The sequence below is a fragment of the Homo sapiens genome, chromosome 7, assembly GCF_000001405.40.
Source record: "Homo sapiens chromosome 7, GRCh38.p14 Primary Assembly".
NCBI classification, from domain to species: Eukaryota; Metazoa; Chordata; class Mammalia; order Primates; family Hominidae; genus Homo; species Homo sapiens.
The window spans coordinates 123,178,925-123,202,721 of record NC_000007.14 but is presented as its reverse complement, the minus strand read 5'-3'; the positions used below and the strand labels follow the sequence as shown (position 1 = coordinate 123,202,721).

General features: G+C 36.6%; 1 protein-coding gene across 9 annotated transcripts in view, besides 1 other annotated feature; it reads left to right on the top strand.

Annotated features, from left to right (window-relative positions):
- Positions 2,751–23,797, top strand: part of SLC13A1 (solute carrier family 13 member 1) — an 86,441-nt gene continuing 65,394 nt past the window's right edge. For 6 of the 9 annotated variants that reach the window (NM_022444.4, XM_011516516.4, XM_011516515.4 and 3 more), the window contains exons 1-2: positions 2,753–2,874; positions 21,621–21,749. In NM_022444.4, the coding sequence (NP_071889.2) occupies positions 2,776–2,874; positions 21,621–21,749 (228 nt within the window). In that variant the 5' untranslated portion in view covers positions 2,753–2,775. 9 annotated transcript variants of the gene reach the window in all.
- Positions 12,186–12,495: an enhancer, noted in NCBI's record as "active region_26566". NCBI's record gives its function as "activates an Ori minimal core promoter by ATAC-STARR-seq in GM12878 lymphoblastoid cells {active_cell/tissue: GM12878}" and the evidence as "EXISTENCE:reporter gene assay evidence [ECO:0000049][PMID:35858748]".

Here is a 23,797-nt window from a genome sequence, read left to right as displayed (position 1 = left end):
ACTCAAGCATCTTGGGCAATCTAACTTCTTTACTACCAATAAGAAACCCTTCATTTCCTCTGTGCTTGAACCTGAGCTTCACATAATTTATGACCATCCAGAAGTCTCAATGGCAAACGCCAGAACTACAGTCCCTAAACTAACCAAACCAGGTATCTCCATACAAATTCTAGACTTGAAGTTAGTGCTTAGTGCCAAATGAATATTCTTGATGGTAGACCTCAAACGTAGTACAAGGAGCATTGCCTTAGGTGCCAGAAAGAACTGGATTCAAATGAATTGTTTTGCCATTTAGTACCTGGGATATTTTACTTTACCTCTTTGAATCTTAGTTTTCAAATCTATAAAATATAAATAATAATAACAATACATACATATAACTTGTATCAAGTTTTGAAGATTAAATGAGGTACTAAATGTAAACTCTCTGGGACATAGGATATAACTATAACAATGAATGAATGAACAATATCTGTGATTTTTTTGGTAAACATGTTTTTTAATTAAGGGCTAGGCGAAGCTTAAGAACAAATGAATGAACATAGTCATGAACTGATTCATGATTATGTAATGGTGTGATTCAGTTTAGATAAAACATAACACAATTATGATGTAGTAAGGTTTATGATTTTCTGTACAAAGAAGAGGTGAAATTTGACAACTGTGACTAATTTGTCCTAGGCATGGAGCTAGTTAAAGCGTGATGTGATTTGAAGGGTACCTTAAGATATGTATCCAAGGGGCCCCGAAGTCTCCCTTAGAGTTTCATTCCCCAGTGACTCTTGCAGAGACATTCAGCTCACATCAGTCATTCATGTTTAGTGCAAATTATTTTATTAGATTTTTTTCTCTCTATGACAGTGAAGAGAAAACCACCGAGGAATAAGAGGTTGGCTGAAGGTAAGGAGAAGGTGAGGCTGTTTTGTAATAATGAACACCCACAGCAGATTCAGCTAGCTAGAGCCCAGGCCATAAGAATAGGGTCCTGGAGCCTTCCTCTGGTGAGAAATGAGGACCTAAAGAGAGAAAATAGGGCACAGAAAGGAGGGACTAACAAATGTCAAGTGCTTTTCCCTTAGCCTCTGTCTGGTTCCAGTTGCCTACACATAGGCTCTCATTTCCTTTAAATGTCACACAAATGCCTTTTCGTTTTTTGGTGTCATCTCACAAAGTAAAATCCTCTAAGATGAAAAAGTGAGGCTCAAATCATCTCACCAGGTAGCTGAAGGAAATCTGAGAGCAAAAATGGTTTCTTCAAAAAGTAGTAGTTTAAAAAAAAGCATGCAATGAACTAGAGAACTGTACAGGGTGTTAATGGAAAAAAATAAGTACTACAACTGGTTTGAGTAAATCAGTTCATAAATTAATTTTAACACTATATACTATTGTTACCTATTTATTATCACTTACCATTTTATTACAATATCATTTGTAATTATCCTTTCATCTAAGAAATTTAAGATATAATAAGACTTTCTGGTTTGGAAACTTTTTTTCTGTTTACTATTCTGATTTTCCTGAATAACTGTCCATAATAGATGTTTAGGAATTTAAATTTTTTACAGGAAAAAAATGCTTTCTCATTTACATTAATATGGTGAGTACTGGTGAGAGAATTGTTTCTCTTGATGGAAAGAGAATGCAGAGTTATATTAGTATGAAGTTAGAAATAAGACCTAAATGCTAACTATAGATTACATAAGAGTAAGGTTATCTATGTCAAGAGATATTGACTATAAATTCTAGTAGGGCTGGGAATGTGTTTCATTTATATCTAAAGACAAGTAGTAGTTGCTAACTTGAGGTTTACTGGATCATCAATTTACAACACAACGTGAAAAAAACCAGGGTCCTTATCCCTGAAGATTTTCAAAATACATCCTCCATATCACTGTTGGAACAGTCTCCAACTTCCCATGTGCTCATGTGCACAAACCATACACACACACACATCACACACCACTTGAATGTCCCTAATCACTCATCTTTATGCAGATTCCCTGATAATTATGTAGTCTGTATCAGCACAACAGTATCAAATCAAGCCTTCAAAGGTCTTAAAATAGAGGGTTTATATAACACTTCATGGTTATTTTGGTTTTCTATCAAAAGAGACAATAGGGTCCAAGAAATACACAAAACTTTGCTTCTAACCAACAGGGACATTTGCTATAAATTTTGTAGAAGACCCTTGCAATACATTGTCCAAGAAGTCCGTTAAAAATCCATCTCTAAACAAAAAAGTTTCCCTTTCACTGTCATACACTGAAATTCCAACTATTAGTTGCTATTTCAATTTACACACTGAAAACATACTTCCTTAGAAAGGGCCATGGAGGCTGCCTGTGGAGACTCACTCATGGCACCATGACAATGTGGTAACTACTCCAGTTAGGGAGTCTGGAAGTCAGAGGACATCAAAAGGGTTGGAAGTGCCTCATTGTGAACAAACAACCAGCTTCATGGTTTTGCCTTCTCCTAGGCTTGTCCAGTCTGTATTTCAGTGAATGTGATCAAAGAAAGCAGGGAAAGAACAGTTTTTCCTTGAAAACCCAGAGGAGCAAATGGTCTTTGATTTCTCATGAAAAGTCTTGGGCCTATCTCTTCATGTTAATTGTGATAGTAAAACAATAAAAAATGAGATTTAATTTTAACTTGTGTTGGTCGGTCTAGGGCAGTGAGTGAAGGTGACAGGCTGGAAAAATATTAATCCAAGTTGGTTATTTAACATCTGCTTTATTTGGAGGACACTATTGAAGCCACCTGCTCAGGACAATGAAATTCTTCAGTTACATTCTGGTTTATCGCCGATTTCTCTTCGTGGTTTTCACTGTGTTGGTTTTACTACCTCTGCCCATCGTCCTCCACACCAAGGTGAGTGAACCTGGAGAACAGACTGGTGGATTTCCTGACTTATTTAATTGTCCTTTATTAAAACTGTTTGCTGTTTAACTGCCTGGCTCAGAGCTGAATGAATGTTGACCCTTCATACCTAAAGTCAGGATGGTTGTACATGATGTTTTGGCCATTTTCTCCCTTTTTAATAATTAACATTGGTTGATTCTTAGTATGATTAAACATAATTAAATAGAATATTCAATCAGAATTGTTCTCTGCCTATCAACTAGATGAGAGGAAGAACAAAAGAAGCACAACCTTTGAGATTTTGCAGTTCAAGTTGTCATTCTCCAGGGAGCATGCATGGCTAGTGCAATGCCTTCCCCTGAGAATAGGCAGCAAAGCAATTGCTGGGGACAGAGGTGGAAGAACAAGGGAAATCCTAGGTCCAGCACAGACTAATTTACTTCTCAGCTCTGTGGCTTTGTCACAGAACTTCCTGGAAATTTAGTTCCCTTGTAGGAAAAGAAGACATTGAAAGCTTAGAGTAATTTCCCTTGGTCAATCAGAAAATCTAATAAAGCATTTACCATGTTCTGATAATTCCAGGTTTTGTTTCATTGTGGTGTACTTGTAAGCATTTTTGTTTGCTTTTTAAGAGTAGTCAGGGCATTAAGTCCAGAACAATAAGCTCAAGCATGTTTAATTTCTTGGTAAAATGATTTGAATCAGCAAACATTTAATGAGCACCTTCTCTGTGCCAGGCACAAACGTCACTTGGTAGTAAGAGGACAGGCTTTGGAGCCAGATTCTCTGCTTCAGGTCCCAGATTTACCACTTACAAACTGTGTCACCTGGGCATGCTACTTAATGTCTCTGTGCTTCTGTTTTCTCATATGAAAGATGTGTATAGTAGCAGGCTTGTTGTGAGAATGAAATGAAGAAACACTCTTCAAACACTTATTTGGAGCAGTGCCTGGCACACAGTAAGTGTGCAGTGCCAGTCTCCTTGGGTGTGTTGACTCCACAGGTGGGGCAATTCCCAGCACTCCATTATGCACAGTCCCTCCTCTTAATGGGCAAGAACCCTGCTGATGCTCTCCTCTAACAAGTACTAATCGAGGTTACACCAGTCTGGGTTATAATAGAATCATATTAACTATAATATGGTGGTCCCTCCAGCCTCTGCCAGAAGCCTTTGCCAGTGATCCTGGGACCTCTGAAGGGAATTCATGTGAGCTAATAAAGTCCTTTTGGACACTGTCAAGGCCTATCCTACCTGCAAAGCTGGAGAAGGGACTGGCCCCTGCTGTGGCATCTGTGGGTTGTCTCCCACCAGGTGCAATCTTCTAGCTGCAGCATTCTTGGCTTATCTCTCCTTGTGCTGAGGTCTCACAGAGCTACATGGAGGGAAGGGAAAAACTCCCCACCCCTTTTGGTCCAAATTTCTAAGCCCTCAAATTCGTACAGAATTTGTAAATAATAATAATAACTAAAAGACCTTGTCAGCTGTTTTTGGCTTTGTTGGTTTTGTTTTTCAAATTCTGTGTGACTAACCCTTTCCCTCCCACCCTGCCACTCCCACCCCGGCTCCTTGTGAGGTCTCCTATATGAATCTCTGGCAGCCCCATCAGATGACAAATTCCAGCACAGAAATAGTGCTCTATTCTGAATTCTCACCCCATCTCCTTGCCAAGAACTTCATCTAAGACACATTATGATCTTCACTTTGCAACTCTCCTGGTCCCATGAGTCCTCTAGATTTGGCTGAATCCTATCATGACCATATCCTGCTTCATACCTGGAGCCCTGCTATATTTTAATATTTTTGAGTTAGTCTCAGCATACATTCTTACTTATGGCAGAGAAAGTAGGAAATTAAACTAGTCAAGACAAATTTAGGTCATTACCACATATCATCTGTGCTGCTCTTTTTACATATAAATGCATGACAATTTGATTATCCTCCATAATTTTCTGAGAAATGAATATAAACTCTTTGAAAAACAAAATGAGTAAATAAATCAAAAGCAATCATTTTAGTACATGATTCATTCACTGGGAAGTGTATTATTTTTAAGAAATGCAGCCACTGATTATTTTTTCCAAGGTGCTATGACAAAAGAACATTAGGTCCATGCAGGAACCAGGTGTCTGGCACCAAGTTGCATCTGGTGAGCTGGTTCCTCTTTCCTTTCCTCCTAATCAACTCATTTGTTAAAACTCAATTAATGTTAATGGAGGATTTATTCCTAGTATAATAACATGATATTATTTTTTGGCCACTTTAAACATATATTTAATCATTCAATAAACTGCTAATTAAACTGAAAGACTATTATTTTAACTTGCTTACAATGAAAGCAAATTATTTTTTTAAAGAATGTAGGCCTTTGGAGGGTATAAAATTTAAGGAGAAGTTTACTTTAACATAAATGCAAGTCAATTTACTGTTAACTTTTAGGTTACCAAACTGAAGAAGTCTATGCTTCTAAAGACACAATATTAGATTAATTAAAACATTCAATGGAAACAAAAATCCAAGTTTCTCTTTCAAAACCACAATTATAAAAAATAATTCCATGTGGGGCTATAATCTACAGGATGTAGAGCCAACAAACAATGAATTATTGACTGATTTCTTTCCTTCATTTTCCTGCTTGTTATTGAGTTGTTCAATAGACTGGCCTTAACTTATGTCTTAATTCCATCTAAAGTGAAAAAAGTGCCATGAATGAAGAAAGACCCTAACTGGTTTTTCAATGTACTATTAACAGGGACGGAGAATAGACTGATTTGCAGAGTACTCTTCTGTTTCAGGCATTCTGCCAACTGCTTTCCCCAAATTATCTTATTTAACCTCCATCACAAACGAATAAACAAGTACAAATGTGCTTCTCGTTTTACATTTGAGGGAATTGATGCTCAGAGACATGTAACTCACCAAAGGCCATCTACATGCTCTAGAAAGTAAATTTGAGCTTGGATCCTGTCAGAACTCAGAATTCATGCTTTAAAAGTGATTTTGTTTTAGTCTTTTGTATATTTTTGAAGACTTACTCTTTCATGGCTTGTTCATCATTTGTCAACAACACAGGCATTTCTGTTCATGAAAATGCTTTAGACAGGCCAAACAGAAGAGTTCTGTTTTAACCATTTCCTCAATTGACCTTATGGTACGCAATGTCATTAAGGTAGAAAGTTGCAGTGATTCTAACCACTGAAGATAGGCTTATGAGAACTGAAGCTATAAGGATGTCATTTGCTGGGTGTCCCAGAGCCCCAGTTTTTTAAGCTGGTCAGTCAGCTTGTCAGGATATGGTGCCCCTTTTCTCCATACTTGCGTCCGAATTGGAAATAGAGACAAAAACAGGTAAGCAGCTTGCAAAAATCTGGCTACACAGATTTTTCCAACCAACTTCTGTCTGACTCTAGAGCCAATGATGTTAATCACAACTGAGTATCTGTGTCTTTATAGCTTCCGTGGTCATAATAAATATATTCCTAGTACATTGCTGTGAATCTCACTTCGCTAATGCAATTCCATTTTCTTATTGATTTACACTGAGCATCAGAAATTCTTTCTGTCTCTTAAACATAATGGTAATCTCAGTCCTTACCCAATTAGTAGTTAATGATCAGTAAACAAGTCTGGAGTGTAACTGCTTTTTATTTGAATGAAATAATCACACTGAGTTTTTCTCATTTTGGAGAGAAATTTCTTTAAATATTTCCAGTTAAAATCTTGGTAAAACTGGCCTAGTATATACTGACATAGTTTCAGTAATATTCTATGTGCAACTTTGTTCTTTTTAGGCTATTTTGTTAATTTTTACTCTTTTCAGCAGTCAATACTATTTCCTTACTTATTTTTCCAGTTATTGGATTTTCTTTGTATTTTTATTCATGAAACAAAAAGGCCAGATTTGTTAGAAGTAAGAGGGGAAAATCAAACAACAATATATTATATTTGTAGAGTGCAATTCTTCCAGGTATACCTATTCTATCTAGCTTACTTATTAATCAGGACCCCTTTTTAAGATCAGGAGACAAGGAAACAACCACACATATACTGAGCAGCATTTCTTAGTTGATGGGTTGTAAAACCGATACCAAATTTTAATTCTTTCTTCAGAAAATATTTTGGATTTCTCTAGAAAATATTTTATATTCTAACTTTGAAACTCACGATATAGTCACTTGAATCATGATGACTTTCAAAGTGAGAATAGAAATAATAATAAATAAAATGATACATGATGAGAGACTTATGGTGCTAGATATAAAAATAAAATAAACAGATGGGAGAAATATAATGATTGTAAGGAAATATAAACTTTAAAAAGTGAAGTATCCCCTAGAAGGAGGAAGTGGTAGGTCGAGAAGTTGGTCAAAGAAAATGAAAATGAGTAGGAGATAATTTAAAAAGACTATAAGTGAAAGAAGAGGGAGGAGAGAAATTCCAAGAAAACAGATAAGTTTTAAAGAGCCAAATAAAATAATTAAATATATTAATGGAAATAATTGATACTGTTTTAAATGTTGGCATAAAAATATTGTAGGGATTTAAGATAAAGAAGAAAATGCTATAAAGTCCAAGTAAGTGAATATTTTGGACACCAAAGAATGCAGAAATGATGAAGAACAAGGAAAAAAATAGAAATAATGCTAATAGCAATGTGGTAGTTCGACAAAACCAGAAAATCCAATTTTGGTAATATATTTTTATTTCACAAATATTTTACAAGAACTTTCCCAGCCCAAAGTGTTGTGCCAGATGAATTGTGTGATATAAGCAGAAGTTTAAATTAATGTTTCTGTCTTTATGTAGCTTGCAGAATTGCTGGAAAGTCATTATATAGTATGACAAATATTAATGGCAAAAGTAGGTTGTACCTAAACACATGCCGAATAATTTAAAGAAATCATCTGTGCTATGAAGGCGTAATTAAAAAGTGGATAAACCACTAAGGATTCATCATCTTCCAGCTCCTCTGTTCCCCTAACCGCATGCAGTCCCACTTGCCCAAAACCTGCTGCTCCTTCTGTTTTCTTTATGTCAGAGAATGCCACTACCCTTCTCTCCATTCACAGGTTTGAAAGCTGTATGTCATCTCAGATGCTTCAAATATCCACAAGCCCCCATCACTAATACGGTGTTGCATCTCCTTAATCTAAATCCTCCTAAATCTCCCCTCTCAACCTCATCTTCTCCTCTCTTTCCTTTCCTGCTGGCACTGCTTTCCTTGAAGCTGTCTTTCTCTTTCTTTCATAGACTGTTTGTTTTTTACACACTTTCCCCTACAGTCTCTGGCCAGAGTACTATTTTTTAAATGCCAACTCAGTCCAATTGTGAAAAATCAAAATTTTTCAATGGTTCCTTTTTGCCTATAATGGAAAAATATCTAAACAAAAGATGGTTTTGCTGATGGATATTTCTGACTTTTCATTTATTTGTCCTAAAAGCCTCCACCACACAGTCCCCAGTATCTATCTCCCACATTTGCATTTTCCTCTTTAACAATACTTCACTATTTGCAGTTTCTAGAATGCCTGTGATTATTCTTGTCTCTCTGCCTTCTCACACGCTATATCCTCCTCCTAGAATGCCATCTCCTCTTACCTCACCCTTCTTGGGAAGGAAGGCTCAGGCTGTGATGTAAACTAAGGATCATCCTCGATGCTCTCATTGCATCATGGATACATTGGCCTCTATTACAGTATGTCTTCCGTTTTGCTTTATCTTTGTGTCTCCCTCCAGACTGTAAATATCTCAAGAACATGGAGCATAGTGTTTAAATTTCTGTCTCCTCCAGCACCAAACCCAGTGCCTGTCACATAGTAGATAGTTAATAACTGTGTTGAGTGAAGGATGATCTAGCGTGGCAGAAGGATGTAAGGCTTTGGACCTGATAGGAAGGAGAGAATGCAGGAGAAAGAGGTTGATGAAAGAGGGGAACTTCAATAGAGTGAAAATAATGATGAAAGGACAGAACAAGAAGAATGTAGGTGTAACCAGAGGCTGTCCCTTTCACAAAGCTCTTTCTTCCTCCCATAATATGTTTTATACCTTGTTTGGTAACAATAGTAAATGTGAATGCCCACTGTGAGCCTCATAGCGACAATTAGAAATAGTCAATATCATCCCAATTTTACAGAACAGAAACTCAGAGAGGTCAAGAAATGTGATCAAAGTCACACAGTCCACAAAGGGAGCAAGAGGACTTAAACACAAATCTGTCTGACTTCCAAGCTCATGATGTCATTGCTTATTTAATGATATTTATATCAGATCTTTAAAAGCTGTGCTCAGATTGCCTTATGTCATTGTTCCTGCATTTGCAATCACGAAAGCACAGGTTGAGGTGATGCCTCTCTCAGCCTGGATCACGTAGTAACCTCTACCCATGATGGACAAATAGTATAAGTAAGAAATAATTGGCTGTTTTAGACTGCTGAGATTTTGGAACTTTTGCCACAGCATAGCTTATCCTGTCCTGATTAACATAGCATATTCTGAAACATTCCCCAAGTGACTCAGACATGCTACCCTTGGCTGATTTTTTTTTTTATTTATAAAATGAGCAAGGCTCTTTTTAAAAAGTTCCAAATGTTGTCTATGGATAAGCTTCCCCAGATTCACCTGAGATACTTGTGTAAAATCATAAACTCTTAATGTGAAGTGTAGGATGCTGCACGTTGAACAAACTCCCCAGGTGATTCTGGAGCAGGTAGTTCATGGATTGCATTTTGATCATAACCAAATGTGTAGTCAGGTTGGAGAACTGATTATTTCTGTACCTTTTTCCAGTTCCACTGTGTACAGAGTATGAAAACAATGCATCTCAGGTGCTGGTTAGGTGTGGAGGTTGAGTGAAAAGGAGGAACTAAAAATTTCCCAATAACTGGTTTAGTGGGCCATCAATTGCTTTTCTCTACTATCCATTTTGGCTAAAAACTTAAAAAAAAAGAAAAGAAAAAACATCTAGTTATTTCTCCTTGACTTTGTAGTTGAACTTATTTTTACTATCCATCTTCCAAAATGAGGATATTTTAAAGCACTTTAAACTTTGCAATTAATATAAATTGAGTCTTAAGAAATCACTGCTGCAGTAGGGGTAGGAATACCAAGAACCATACAAAGCCCTTCACAGGCTCTGTCAAATAATAATGATGTTTTTCTTGTAGCACAGAGATTTAGAATGCATGATTTTTCTCCTTTTTTAATTGCTTTGTGTTCTCTTTAGAAAATCAATTGTAGTGATTGAGGTCTGTGATTGGCTCTGCTTTTCTCACGCTGTGCTGAGAAGAGATCATACCCACATACGTACTAATTCATCAGCCAAATTACTCCCTAATATCAGTCAGTATGTCATTTAAAAAAGCAGAAGAGATGAAAAAACTATATTTTAAAGCCAAACTTATATTCTAATTCCATGTGGGGCTATAATTTAAAAGAGAACCAAGGTGATTTTTAAATGTAATCAGCCACATTTTGTAAGATAACTTGACAGTCAGAACTTTGTAAGGAGGAAAAAGTCATTATCCAAATTGCCTAGTCATAGCTTTCTTTGCCTTTTTCACCCCTTCAGCAAGTGCCCTAGCTGTGCACTTGAGGTGGTTAAGACAAGATATGACTATGATATTTTTAACTGGGGGCTGGGTAAGTGGGAATGTCTGTGATGGAGGAATTCACCTATGCAGGTGGACATTTTAGTTCCAGTGCTGTTTATTAGCAAGAGAGATGAGGGCTGCAGGAAAATTGTAAACACATTCACCCACTGGGGCAGGAGTCAAAATATCCAGTTCCAGGCAAGGAGGAGAGAACAGAGAAAAGGGAACAAGGCAAAGAGAAAGAAGTTTCTATGCTAAGGAACCTTATGCCTAAGATAAAGATTTAGTGTTTTATAAGATATATAAATACAAACAATATTAGAAAGAACAGAAAGAAGAACCTTACTCACTCAAATATGTTACTGACCGTATACTCTATGCCAAGTACTGCTTTAAATGTTGGGAACAGGGTAGTAAATTTTAAAAATATATACTCTGATAGAGTTTATACATGGACAAATCTCAACTCTACCACACGCTAGCAGTGTGATCGTTGAACCTTAGTTCAGCATGGAATTACAATATCTACCCCAAAGAATCTTGGCGAGGGTTAAATAAAATGTCATGTGGAGTGCCAAGTGTTGTTATCTGGCACATTATAAGCATTCATGAGTATTACTTGCCCATCCTATAGTAAGTCAGAAAACAGGTTTATCTGTCTACTTGGCAAATATTTTCACATCTTAAATAAGTTTTTCTATATATAAAGTCTATGATCAACAGTCTAGATGAGGTTTTAGACAATTAGGATCCTCCCTTCCCAAGCTCTTTCTCCATTGGAAACACAAAGCAAATAAAGATCTCTGTAGATCAGAATGAGTCAGAAAAGCAAACAAGTGGCATGAATGTGGAAACCTGTGGTTGAAAGCACTCCCATGCCATTCAGGGACCAGAGTCAGGTTAAATGCCAGAAACTAAGGGCTGGAAAATGGTTTTCTCAAACCTGTGAAGGACAGAAAGAGCTGGATTGATCGCTGGCTATGATGGCTCACAGGAAGCAAACACTGCCCAGCTCCCCAGCCAAGACCTCACCCATACTACCCAACTCAGCTAGATGACTGGATCCATGTTATGCTGGCAAGAAAAGAACTCTAGGGTGTCAAGATAAGACCCATCTGAACCAGGAACTAGGAACTGGCTGGAAGCAACTGTAAAAGTGCTAGATGAGAAACAAGGAGTGCAGAAGAAGAAAACACAAGAATAAAGCTACCACTCAGAATAAATTTGAAAATAAAATTTCAAAATACAATAAGACACTAAAGAAAGACTGACAAAATCCGCTCAGAAGAAATGAAAATAATAGGGAAATCAACAAGTTAGGAAAGGAAAAAAACAAAAAAAGAGAAACAAATTATTTTTCAAAATATAAAGCAAGAGCAGGAAAGTATAAAATAAAACTAGTTAGATATCCTGGAATTTTGTCACTGAGATTAAAAAAACAAACAAAATCCTCAATAGATGTGTCATGTTTGAGGCTCCTGGGTGGTCCTAGTTAACCAGCTTCCCCAGGGGCAACTTCTCCTTTTTCATTTGATTCATGTCAAAGATGAGTCTTAGACACTCTAATGCTCAACAGCTTATTCTCAACAGCTTCTCCTTTTTCATTTGGTTAATGTCAAATATGAGTCTTAGACAGCTTATTCTAATGCTCAACAGCTTATTCTGACTTTTCCAAGATGAAGATGAAGAGCAGGCCAGTGGCATGGGCCAGATGCAGTCAGATGACTGACTGACCAGGAGGGCCTCCGTCCAGTGACCAGTCTCAGAATTTAAAGGACCCTTCCCCCTTACTTATGCTTGTACTCAGCCCAGGTGAGTTACCAGCCATTTCTCTCATAAAGGGAGTTTAAACAATTCTGGAAAGAGTAAGCCTTTTTTGTTTATGAAAGTTGCATCTGAGGTAGCCTTGTCTCCTGGAAATCCCCAGGCCAAGGTTGGAAATCCCCAAGCCAGTCTGCATCACATTGCTAAGTGACACTTAGTGTCAACCCTACTCTGTGACATACTGCTACGTGACATGTAGTATCAGCAAGATGCCTGAATAAGCCTTATGGCTATCATTAATCTTATAACCAGGGTATGTCTCTTATAGTATACTACAAGATGAAATAAACTTTAAACTGAGTATCCTTGAAGATATATTCAGTGAACTGAGAAAGAATACTAGGAATTTACCTAAAATATCAAATAGAATATAAAAGGATATCTTTAAGTGAGAGAATCATTTGGAGAATGAATTCAGAGCCCCAACATATGTATAAAAGACATTACCGAAAATGAAAGACTAGAAAAGAAGTCATATTCAAAGTAATAATTACTGAATTCTCCAGAATTTTTTTAAAAAAGATGAGCTCTCAAATGCATTTGTAAGTACAAACAACTTAATTAGATATTAGTCCATATTTAGGCACATCAGGAATGAGACTTCAGATTAAAAATAAGGTGAATTTTTTAAAGCTTCCAAATAGAGAAGAAAAAAATCTCCAAAAGGATTGTAATTAGATAAATTTTTCATTTCAATAATAATGAAAACATCTAATAAATATATAATAGACCTTTCTGGAGAAATCTACAAAACATTATAGAAGAAATTTAATAGACACCTAAAAGAATAGAGAAGTTCATAGATAGAAATACTTAAAGCTATATCTTACTTCATAGATTCTGTGTAATTTGAATGAAAATCTGAATAAAATTTTTATAACTTGAGATAGTAATTTTAAAATTCAAAAGAAAGAATGAAAATCTAACACTATTAAGGCAATTTGAAAAACATATAAGATGAAGGAGTTGTCATACAGATTGTAAACCTTATTGAAAGGTTAGAAATGTTAAAAGAGCATAATTCTGTAAGAACTTATTTTTAGAAGGCAGCAGTGGGAGAGGGAGAGGACAAAATAAAGAGACCAGAAGCTTATGTGTCTGCATTTGAGAACTTCAGCATAGAAAATATGTAGCAACATGAATTACTAGGCAAAAATGAGCTCATTCAATTTAAAAAGCATGGCACTTTGGCTATTCATTTTGAGAAAAAAAAAGTGTTAGATTCCTATACAAAAATATTAAAGCTCTACACTTGAAAAAATTTTAATCTTAGAAAAAATATGGAAATATATAATGTAGAAAGATTTTCTTTCTTTTTTTTTTTTTTTTTTGAGACGGAGTCTCGCTCTGTCGCCCAGGCTGGAGTGCAGTGGCGGGATCTCGGCTCACTGCAAGCTCCGCCTCCCGGGTTCACGCCATTCTCCTGCCTCAGCCTCCCAAGTAGCTGGGACTACAGGCGCCCGCCACTACACCCGGCTAATTTTTTGTATTTTTAGTAGAGACGGGGTTTCACCGTTTTAGCCGGGATGGTCTCGATCTCCTGACCTCGTGATCCGCCCGCCTCGGCCTCCCAAAGTGCTGGGATTACAGGCGTGAGCCACCGCACCCGGCCGAAAGATTTTCTTATAAAATATGGTAAAAACATGAGACAACAGAAAAGTGTTTAAAATCACTGCATTAAAATTAAAATCCTCCTGTCAATTAAAAATACAATAAAGCTAATTTCATAGACAAGCCAGAGACTAAGAAAAATGTTTACAAATACATAGTTTATAGAGAAATAATATTAAGAATCTAAAAATAACTCCACAAATCCATGAGATAAAAGAAAAAATAACCCAACAGAAAAATGAAAAAGAACTATAAATATATAATTTACAGAAGAGAAACAATTATGTTCAATAACTGTGAAAATACTCCACTGGTATTCAAGAACATGGAAATTAAATAAGAAGATTTTTTCATACCATCAGACTGTCAAATGAATAAATTAATCCCATATACCAAGGATGGTGAAATGGAATTTCTGAACATTGTTGGTGTTAATATAAACTAGTATGACCATCTCAGCTTCTTAGTCGATTTTCATAGTGCTATAAAGAACTGCCCGAGACTGGGTAATTTATAAAGGAATGAGGTTTAATTGACTCAGCGTGACTGGGAGGCCTCAAGAAACTTACAATAATGGTGGAAGGGGAAGTGAGGCAACTTCTTCACAAGGCAGCAGGAAGGAGAAGTGCCAAATTAAGGGGGAAGAGCCCCTTATAAAACCATCAGATCTCATGAGAACTCACTCACTATTATGAGGACAGCATGGGGGAAACTGCGCCCATTATTCAATTACCTCCACCTGGTTTCTCCCTTGACACCTGGGTAGCATGGAGATTACAATTCAAGATGAGATTTGGGTGGGGACAAAAAGCCTAACCATGTCAGATAGCAAATGGGCAATATCTAGTAAAGTTCCAATGGACTCCTTCCCGTTTGAAGTTCTGATGCTAGTTTTCTCCACCAGCTAAGAAAATCTATTTTCCATAGACATGCATGTGGAGATAGGTACAAAGATGTCCATAGCCTTATAATAATAAAATATTGGGGAAAAAATCCAAACAAACATCAGTAGAAAAACAGACAAATAAATGGTAAAATATTCATAAAAAGAAATACTACATCTATTAAAATGAAGTAACAATAAATCTACATGTATCAACATGAATGTATTTGAAGTACATAAAATATTGAGTGAAAAAAGCAAGTTGCAAAGTGACATATAGAGTAAACCTTATTTAATTTTAAAACCACTTGTTATTAATGTATTAATGTCTGCATGTAGTATAATCACAAAAACATGAATGGAAAGGATACAAACCACATTCTAGACAGTAGTTAACTTTGGGAATGGTGGAGGAGAAGGAAATGAGGGAGTGGTCCTTAACATCAGTCTTTAACAGAATATGGAATGTTTTATTTGTTTAAAAATAATTTAAGCAAATGTGGCAAAGTGTCAACATTTGTTAAATATGATAAGGTGTACAAATATGTTTGTTGTATATTTTTACTATGTTCTAAATATTTTATAATTTTGAAAATGCTTCTAAAGAATACACTGCTAAAAAGCTTCTAATATATATATTTTTTAATTTAAGGGACGAGGAACTGCCCATACTATAATAACTTCATGTCTCTGGTAGTGTGAGGAAATCTTATAATAGGAAAGACGGAGCTGCCATGAATGAGCCAAAGAGGTGCAGTGTATACATACAGAGCAGGTATCCAGGGTTAAGCGACATGACATTGCCTATGATCTAATGGAATTTCACCTGGTTTCCACACAATTGCCTCTGTCTGGCTAGGTGTGACTTGTTTGCTGAACTTCTTGATGTAACTTTTGGGAGTCGTAACACGTACAGAGATTTTTAAGTAGAAAAGTAGTATTTTTGAGGAAGTCCTCTGGACTTTTTTTTTTCCCCTCTTTTCTCTTTCTTTATTTTGAGAAGGAATCATGATTTAAAAAAAAAAAAATTGTAAGGTCAGTGGTAGTCATAACTGTAAATCTTTACAGTTATGTCCTTCATGATAAATAAACAAGATAAAAGTACACATTATTTTTGTTGCTATCATTCAGTTTAAGAATTCATAATACTAAAATACTTCAGAACAAAATGTGATTAAAACGTTTACTTGTTACGGTTGCAGAGTAAGTTGTAATAACGATATCGGATGTATCAGCAACTTCCAGCAGACTTGGGGGTAGGTTGTGGGGGAGGAAGGATTCACTCATACTCTTAATTGACAACTGGTCTTCTTTTATTGCTGTTTTACCATCGTTCTCTTGAGGAGGTAGTAGTAGTAGTGATTGTGTGTAATGGTGGTAAACAATTTGTGGTGGTTTTATTTCTTAGGAGTAGGAGGTCTGTTAAGGTGAAGAAAAAGAGGAAAGAGACAAATTTGGAAGAAATTTACAGGAGACAAAGATAATATAGCTTGAAACAATTGGTCACTCTATGAGTTTCTAGTGACAAAATGAAGCTACTTTATGTTCTACCTCAAAGCCAGTCCTAAAATCAAATATCTAGGATCTCTTTTTAGTTGCAACACAGTTCCACAACCTCTGAGTAGTTTTCTTCTTCATCAGAAGAACTTGTCCACCAAAAGTTACTCACCCTCGTATTCTTTGTGTGCATGTGTGAATAGATGTGAATAACACAAAAGAAGAAAATGGTTGTTTTTTTTTCTATCTCTTATACTTTTCTTCTTCTTAGCAAGATTATTCACAGATCTTTGATTTTAAAGTAAAAAATAACCCTATATACTTTAATAGGATAGTTTTAAAAGAAAATACTTGGTGTTGTGTTTGAATTAACCTTCTGCTATTTAATGCCTAAGGACTTTGAAGGGAAAGAATGCTTTCCTGCATTCTTTCACATACCCAAGCACGACCAAGAAAAATCACACAATAGAGAAAAGGAATTAGAGGAAGGAAGCATTCCTGGGATGAACCCATCAATAGGATGCTTGTTTAATTTATCAGCCAAAGAGGGACGCTTTTGAAAATGAAAGGAAATACTAATGAGAAAGGAAACTCTACAATAACACTGTCCTGAGAAAACTGGGGCAGATGGCTACCCTACCCATTAAAGAGCTCTCAAACGATCCTAAAATTTGTATTGAAACAAAAGACCCCAAATAGTTAGAGCAATCTTGAACAAAAAGAACAAAGCTGGGGGGCATCACACTACCTGATTTCAAAATATACTACAAAGCTATAGGAACCAAAACAGCATGGCAGTGGCATAAAAACAGACATGTGGACCAATTAAACCATAGAGAAGCCAGAAATAATTCTCTACATTTACAGCCAACTGATTTTCAGCAAAGGTGCCAAGAACACACAATGGGAAAAGGAGAATCTCTTCAATAAATGGTGTTAGTGAAACTAAATATCCACCTGCAGAAGAATGAAATCAGACCCATATATCTCACTATATGCAAAAATCAACTCAAAATGAATTAATTAATTAAATGTAAGACCAAAAACTATGAAACTACTAGAATACAAAACAGGGGAATAGCTCCATGACATTGACCTAGACAATGAGTTTTTTGGATATGACCTCAAAAGCACAGCAACAAAAGCAAAAATAGACAAATGGGATTACATTATACTAATAAAACTTCTTCACTGCAAACAAAATCAAAAGTGAAAAGACAACCTATAGAATAGGATAAAATATTTGCAAACTATTCATCTGATAAGAGATTAATATCAAAAATACATAAGGAATTCAAACAACTCAATAGCAAGAAAGCAAATAACCCAATTGAAAAATAAGCAAAAAATTTTGAATAGACTTTTCAAAAGAAGGCATACATATGGCAAACAGGTACATGAAAAAATGCTCGACATCACTCTTCTGGGAAATACAAACTAAAGCCACAGTGAGATATTATCTCACCTTTGTTAGAATGGCTATTATAACAAGTGTTGGCCAGGATGTGAACACTGTTTGCAGAAATGTAACTTAGTACAGCCATTATGAAAAATAACACAGCATTCCCTCAAAAAATTAAAAATAGAACTACTGTATGATCCAGCAATGTCATTACTGGATATATACCCAAAGGAAATGAAATCAGTATGTTGAGGAGATATCTGCACTCCCATGTTTATTGCTGCACTAGTCACAATAGCCAAGATATGGAATCAACCTAAGTGTTCATCAACAGATGAATGGATAAAGAAAATATGGTATGTATACACACACACACACACTCACACATGCACTTGCACACAAACACACACATGGAGAGAGAGAGACAGAGACAGAATGAAATACTATTCAGCCATAAAATGAAGAAAATCCTGTCATTTGTTACAACATGTATGAACCTGAAGGATATATGTTAAATGAAATAAGCCAGGGACAGGAAGACAAATAGCATGTGATGTCAGTCATGTGGAATCTAAAAAAGTTGATCTCATAGAAGTGGAGAGTGAACTTGTGGTTTCCAGGGTCTGGGGAGATCAGGTGTCAGGGTTAAAGAGATGTTAGTCAAAAGATAGAAAGAATAAGCTTGAGAGATTTATTGTACAACATGGTGACTGTAGTTAATAACATTATGTACTCTTGAAAAATGCTAAAAAGAGTGGATATAAAGTGTTCTCAGCACAAAGATAATAATGATGTGAGGTAATGCACATATTAATTAGCTAGACTTAGTCATTCCACTATGCATAGATACTTCAAAGCACCATGTTGTACATGATAAATACAGTACATACAATTTTACATGTCAATTAAAAAAATAAGGATAAAAAAATAGCATTCAGAGGGGAATAACTCTGTCTTCCTCCTTTTCCAGACCTTTGGTTTTCTTCAGATGTGAAAAAAGGGGGCAATTTTCACAAATTCTGGGAAGGCAGCTATCAAAGACATGCAGATATGGTGCCTTAGCTAGCTGAAATTATAATCCACTGGGACTCCTAGGAAAAAATACAAAATGCACATGTGTGTTCAAGGTAAACTCCATGATGAGACATAAATTTGAACTGCAAATCAAAAGGTAGACAAGTTTTACAAATGGGTTATGAATCCAGGGATTCAGCTTAGGCAAAAGGAAACTACTTGGAAGCAAGTGTATGGAACCAGATTTAAAGATGAAAGGGAAGGTCTGGAAAAGGATGTAGCCCAGTGCTTCTCAAACTTTAACCTAGATAAGGATCACCTTGTGAGCCTGAAAATGCTGATTGATTCAGTGTGTCTGGGGAAGGGCTTGATGTCCTACATTTCTCACAAGTGCCCAGATTATGCTGACGCTGCTGGTTCATGGACCAGGCAGAGGGGCAGAGAGGGGAGAAGTCCAAATGCACAATCTAAGTGTTGATTCTTGAATGACAAAGCAATATTTGAAAGGCGGAGCAAATAGGCAACCTTTTTCCTACCAGATATTTTACTAAAATGCTGACAAAAGTTGAGGAGGTAAGAGAATGAGTGAAGTAATGTAGTAGTACTGTATAGAACTGAAAAAATACAAGTCAATCTCTAAAGGTGACCCTGGAGAACTGTTGCCATGGAAGAATATGATCCCAGTGTTACCAAATATCTCAGTTTGTTAAGAGAAGGCAGGAATTCAGACTTTATTTTTTAACATTAAATCTGCTGATTTGTAAATCTTGACTCAAATTAAGCACATAGACTTATAACACTGTGAATCAAATATATAGAATTGCCTTGCCAGACTTGGCTATCAGCTTGTGACTGCTTCATCCAAATGATCAAACACGGTCAAAGGGTCTAGAATGTGAGCTCAGACAGGTAGAAACTAGCACATAAAGGATCTGGGGGCTTGTTGGTATACCAACTGGCTGAATACTATGAATTAGAGTTCAGAGAAAGGGATGCATTATGAGGAGCAAGGATCAGAACTCAAATATCAAGGAAGTGTGTAAAGAAGATTCTTTGGATATAGAAAATTGATGTCAGGAGGTGTTGTGATAAGACATTATAGTCAAAGTGAAGGTGGGTTTGAATGCAAAATGAGGATTCTTCAATTATTTTCAATAAACAACTAAAAGTCACTGACTTTTGGTTGATTTCAGTCAGGGCTGAGCCACTTAAAATATGGAAGTATTCTGGGCCAGGTAATAATGTGATTATTGAAATTTTGCTTTTTATTCTGTCACCAAAGTTGTGCCATCTTAGTGGACTATGACTCTCCACCCAAAGGCCCATGTTGACATGGATGTTCAACACTTAAGGCAGGGGGTGTATATGGTGAACAGAACCAGCTAGCACTATGTATTCTATTTATTTTTTGATGTTTTAGCAGACCCTCATAGATTGGTGCTCCAGATAGTTGTCAGGGTGGCTAGACCTGTATCTGGCTTTCTGTAAGGGAATGCCAAATACAAAATGGATTCTTGGAAAGTGACCTGATATTGGAATAGTCTTGCCTGCAGTGGAGGAAGTGGGTGGAGGGGCAGATTTGAGAGATATAATGACTGGGGAATAAATAGGATCAAGATAGTGGCTAGTTGTAACTAGAGAGCAAGATTAAAAGTGGTCCATTTTATCTCTGCAACCTAGGTTCTTACAAGTATGATGGAAAACATAAAGTCATAACAGGAACTTTCAGGCTATCCATGTGTTCTCATTAAGAGAAAATGCACAACCTTTCTTCCATGCTGGCATTTTAATTTAAGCTAGTATACACAATTCTCTCTAGAGCTGTTCAGGAAGATCCATTCAAGGCTCAGCTTTGTTTTGTTGTTTTATTGTTTATCAAGATGGTAGAAGCAGACTCTGTATGAAACTGTCAACATCAAAACACTTTCATTCTTTCTCCTTTAAATAGATAACACAATAAAGGTACTGCCTAATCCTGGCTTATTAAGGATATCTTAGAAATGCACTGGAAGTGTAGGGATGCTGGTCAAGTAAATCCCAAGCCCCAAGGACTCACCCTGAGGCAGTTGAATCAGACAGCAGTAGTGCCAGACAAAAATAAAAGCTTAATAACTTCATTCAACCTAAACAGCAGTTTTTGTAAATTTTTCAAATGCAACTCAGAATTTGCAGAGAGTAAGCACTGTGAGAGCAAAATAGCACCATTTGATAGCTGCTAACCTTTACTAAAGACTTAGAACGTTCCAGGTGATTTCATACCAAAGTTATCTATATAAGTTAAATATAATGATAAATTTTGACCATCTCTTAACAATGCCCTAAAACATGAACCTATAGTTTTATACTAAGCAAAGCAACAGATTCTATTAAGAGTAGCATTCAGGCTCTTCCATGCCACACAACTTGTCATGTCTTTTCTCTGAGACACAGTACGGCAAAGGTTTCTCCTAGGTTGGTTTTCCCCTTTTAGTTAGAAGGAGAGGAAGGCAGGAGTGCTTAGGTCCCACTCAACCAGGCACCAAGGAATGCATTTAAAAGGCAGGTATCCTGCCCCCAGGGGAAAGGCTGTAACTTGGCTATTTCTGTACTCTGGAAGTATGGGGGAGTGCATTTTATAGGCCAAAGGAAAGTGAGTAGAAACATCTATATACACTAATATGAGCAAGAAAATGGACTAGATTATCTCTTTTGAGGGAAATGTGAAATAAATGTAATGAATGGGGATTTTTTTCTCCCTTTAGTTTTTTATGTTTATTAAATTTTGCTTCTTAGAACTTCTAAGAAATGAGTATTTGAGGGCAACTCAAAGATGCAGAGGTCTTCAGATCTTCTTACGTTCTCTGTGACATGGCTCTATTAAGCAAACATGTTTGTGTTTGAATGTTGACTTCTCCAGCCTCATAATATCACCTTTTGCTTTGCATTTGTTCTTACCAGGAAGCAGAATGTGCCTACACACTCTTTGTGGTCGCCACATTTTGGCTCACAGAAGCATTGCCTCTGTCGGTAACAGCTTTGCTACCTAGTTTAATGTTACCCATGTTTGGGATCATGCCTTCTAAGAAGGTAAGTCCTCTTGCCAATGTCATAAGTTGATTTCCTGTTTTGTATTGAGATTTCCATTGAGAAAAGTTATTTTTAAAGGGAGCAATCATCTCGTTGGTAAGGTTCCACATAAGTCCCCCAAACTTCCAACTGTTTCTCCTCTCTGGCATTCTGCATGTGTGTCCACCTTCAAAGAACAAACACAAGCTGCAGCTTCTTGAGTCATGCATGTCAGTGGGAGAAATGTATGTCCCCTCTTCTCTCACTGACATCTATGCCTAGTGCCTCCCTCTCAAAAACAGGGAAATTTGTTGACATCCTCCATAAGCTTTTTATATTCAGCAGAATTCAGCCTCACGGTGTTGGAAAAACAATTTTGTTTTTAATGAAGAAAAAGTTTCCCTGTTTTCATTTCCAGAAACCTGCCATTTCAAAAGATAAAGCCAAACTAATGTTCATGTATAGCTCCATTTTGTTCTTGCTGAGAGGAGTTTATTCATGCTAAGAGGTGTTTATTTGTTCTATACAATCTAAGAGTACCCATCTGAAGAAAGTGGATTTGGTTTCCCAAACGCATTGAAACCAGTCTCCAGCCACCCAGTGAACAACTGTCTAAACCACAGCTGAAACAATCTCAAGAAAGATGTTAAGTTCGAGATACCAGTCAGTGCAATTTATCACCTTTGGACTTCTATCTTCTGCCTGGGTCTAACATTGCTCTCTTGAGGCTTACCTGTCTGTCATTTTCTTTTTAACAAACCCTTGATTACATTTCTTCCTGTGAAAGGAATGGTTCCCTTCTTTATTTTCACGTCCTTCTTCCTGATTTTGGAGCCCCAGTCGATCTTTTTGCACTTTTTATCCTCCCTGATCCTCTTTTCTTACTGGGTTTTCCCCTCCCACCTAACTTCGAGTCTTTTCTTTCTAATGGCCATTGATTTGGAAGACTGGCCAGGGCTGTACTTCAGTTCCTCTTGCCTCCAGGCTGACATTCTGCTGCCGCATGGAATCTCAGAGCTATAATCTATTAAGCTTCTTAAATGCTTAAACATGCTATATGGCTTTCAATATCGGGAATAAAAAAAGAAGGGGTTGATCAGTTGTTAAAAATAGGGTGTCAAATTTTTAACCCTTGTCCCATGGGCTTGGATGGTTCTGTGTCCAGAGACAGGTGTGTTTTTAACAGTTATACCTTTGTCTGTTATGGTTTAGTAACAATAAAACTGACTAAATTAACTGTTAAAAAGAGGCTGAAGTAGAAGTGAGATTCACTGGACTCATGGGGCATTTCTGTAGCAAGCTGTTATGGGAAGGGACATAGAAACATTAGAGGGAAGCAGGAGGGAAGGGTGCCTGGGAAGGGCTGGCTTTGTAGGAGCTGCCAAGGATATATACGTCTGCCTCTTTGTGGTGTGTAAGGGCCTGACTAAAGGCAGCAAAATTGTAGGTGCCAATGGCAGTTTTGCATCACTGTGACTGCAGACACCTGCCCAACAGTCCTTTATCCCCAGACTAATTTAACAGTCATAGAATCTTAGACTTGAAAGGGAATTCTTCTTGGTCACTTCTCACCCAGAACAGGGATCCCATCCAATATCTCCAATATCTCTAACGGATGAAATCATTCAGAAGGTGTTTAAAAGCTTTCTGGGTTATGGGCCTCTAATATCCCTTTCAAGGAGATACATATTATTTTTGAATAATTTTAACTCATAAGTAACTCAGCTTTATTAAGCCCACATCTGAAACTCAATCACTGACTCATTAAACTTATTTCTAACATGTAGAATTTCATAAATAAACCTTAGTTTTTTTCATGAAAATGTTGCTTGAATTTGAAAATTAATATCATTTCCTCCTTATTTCTTCCCACCTTGAGCCTTAGTGGTTTCCAGACCTCAACTCCCATCCTCAAATCTGCCATTTCCAACTCCATCACCACCACCATCTTCTTTTTCTTCCTGAAACTAACTCTAGTTTGTCAATGAGACTTAAGAATTAAATGAGTTAATAAATGTAAATTTCATTACATAGTAAGTACTCCATATATGTTAGCCAATGTTATTATT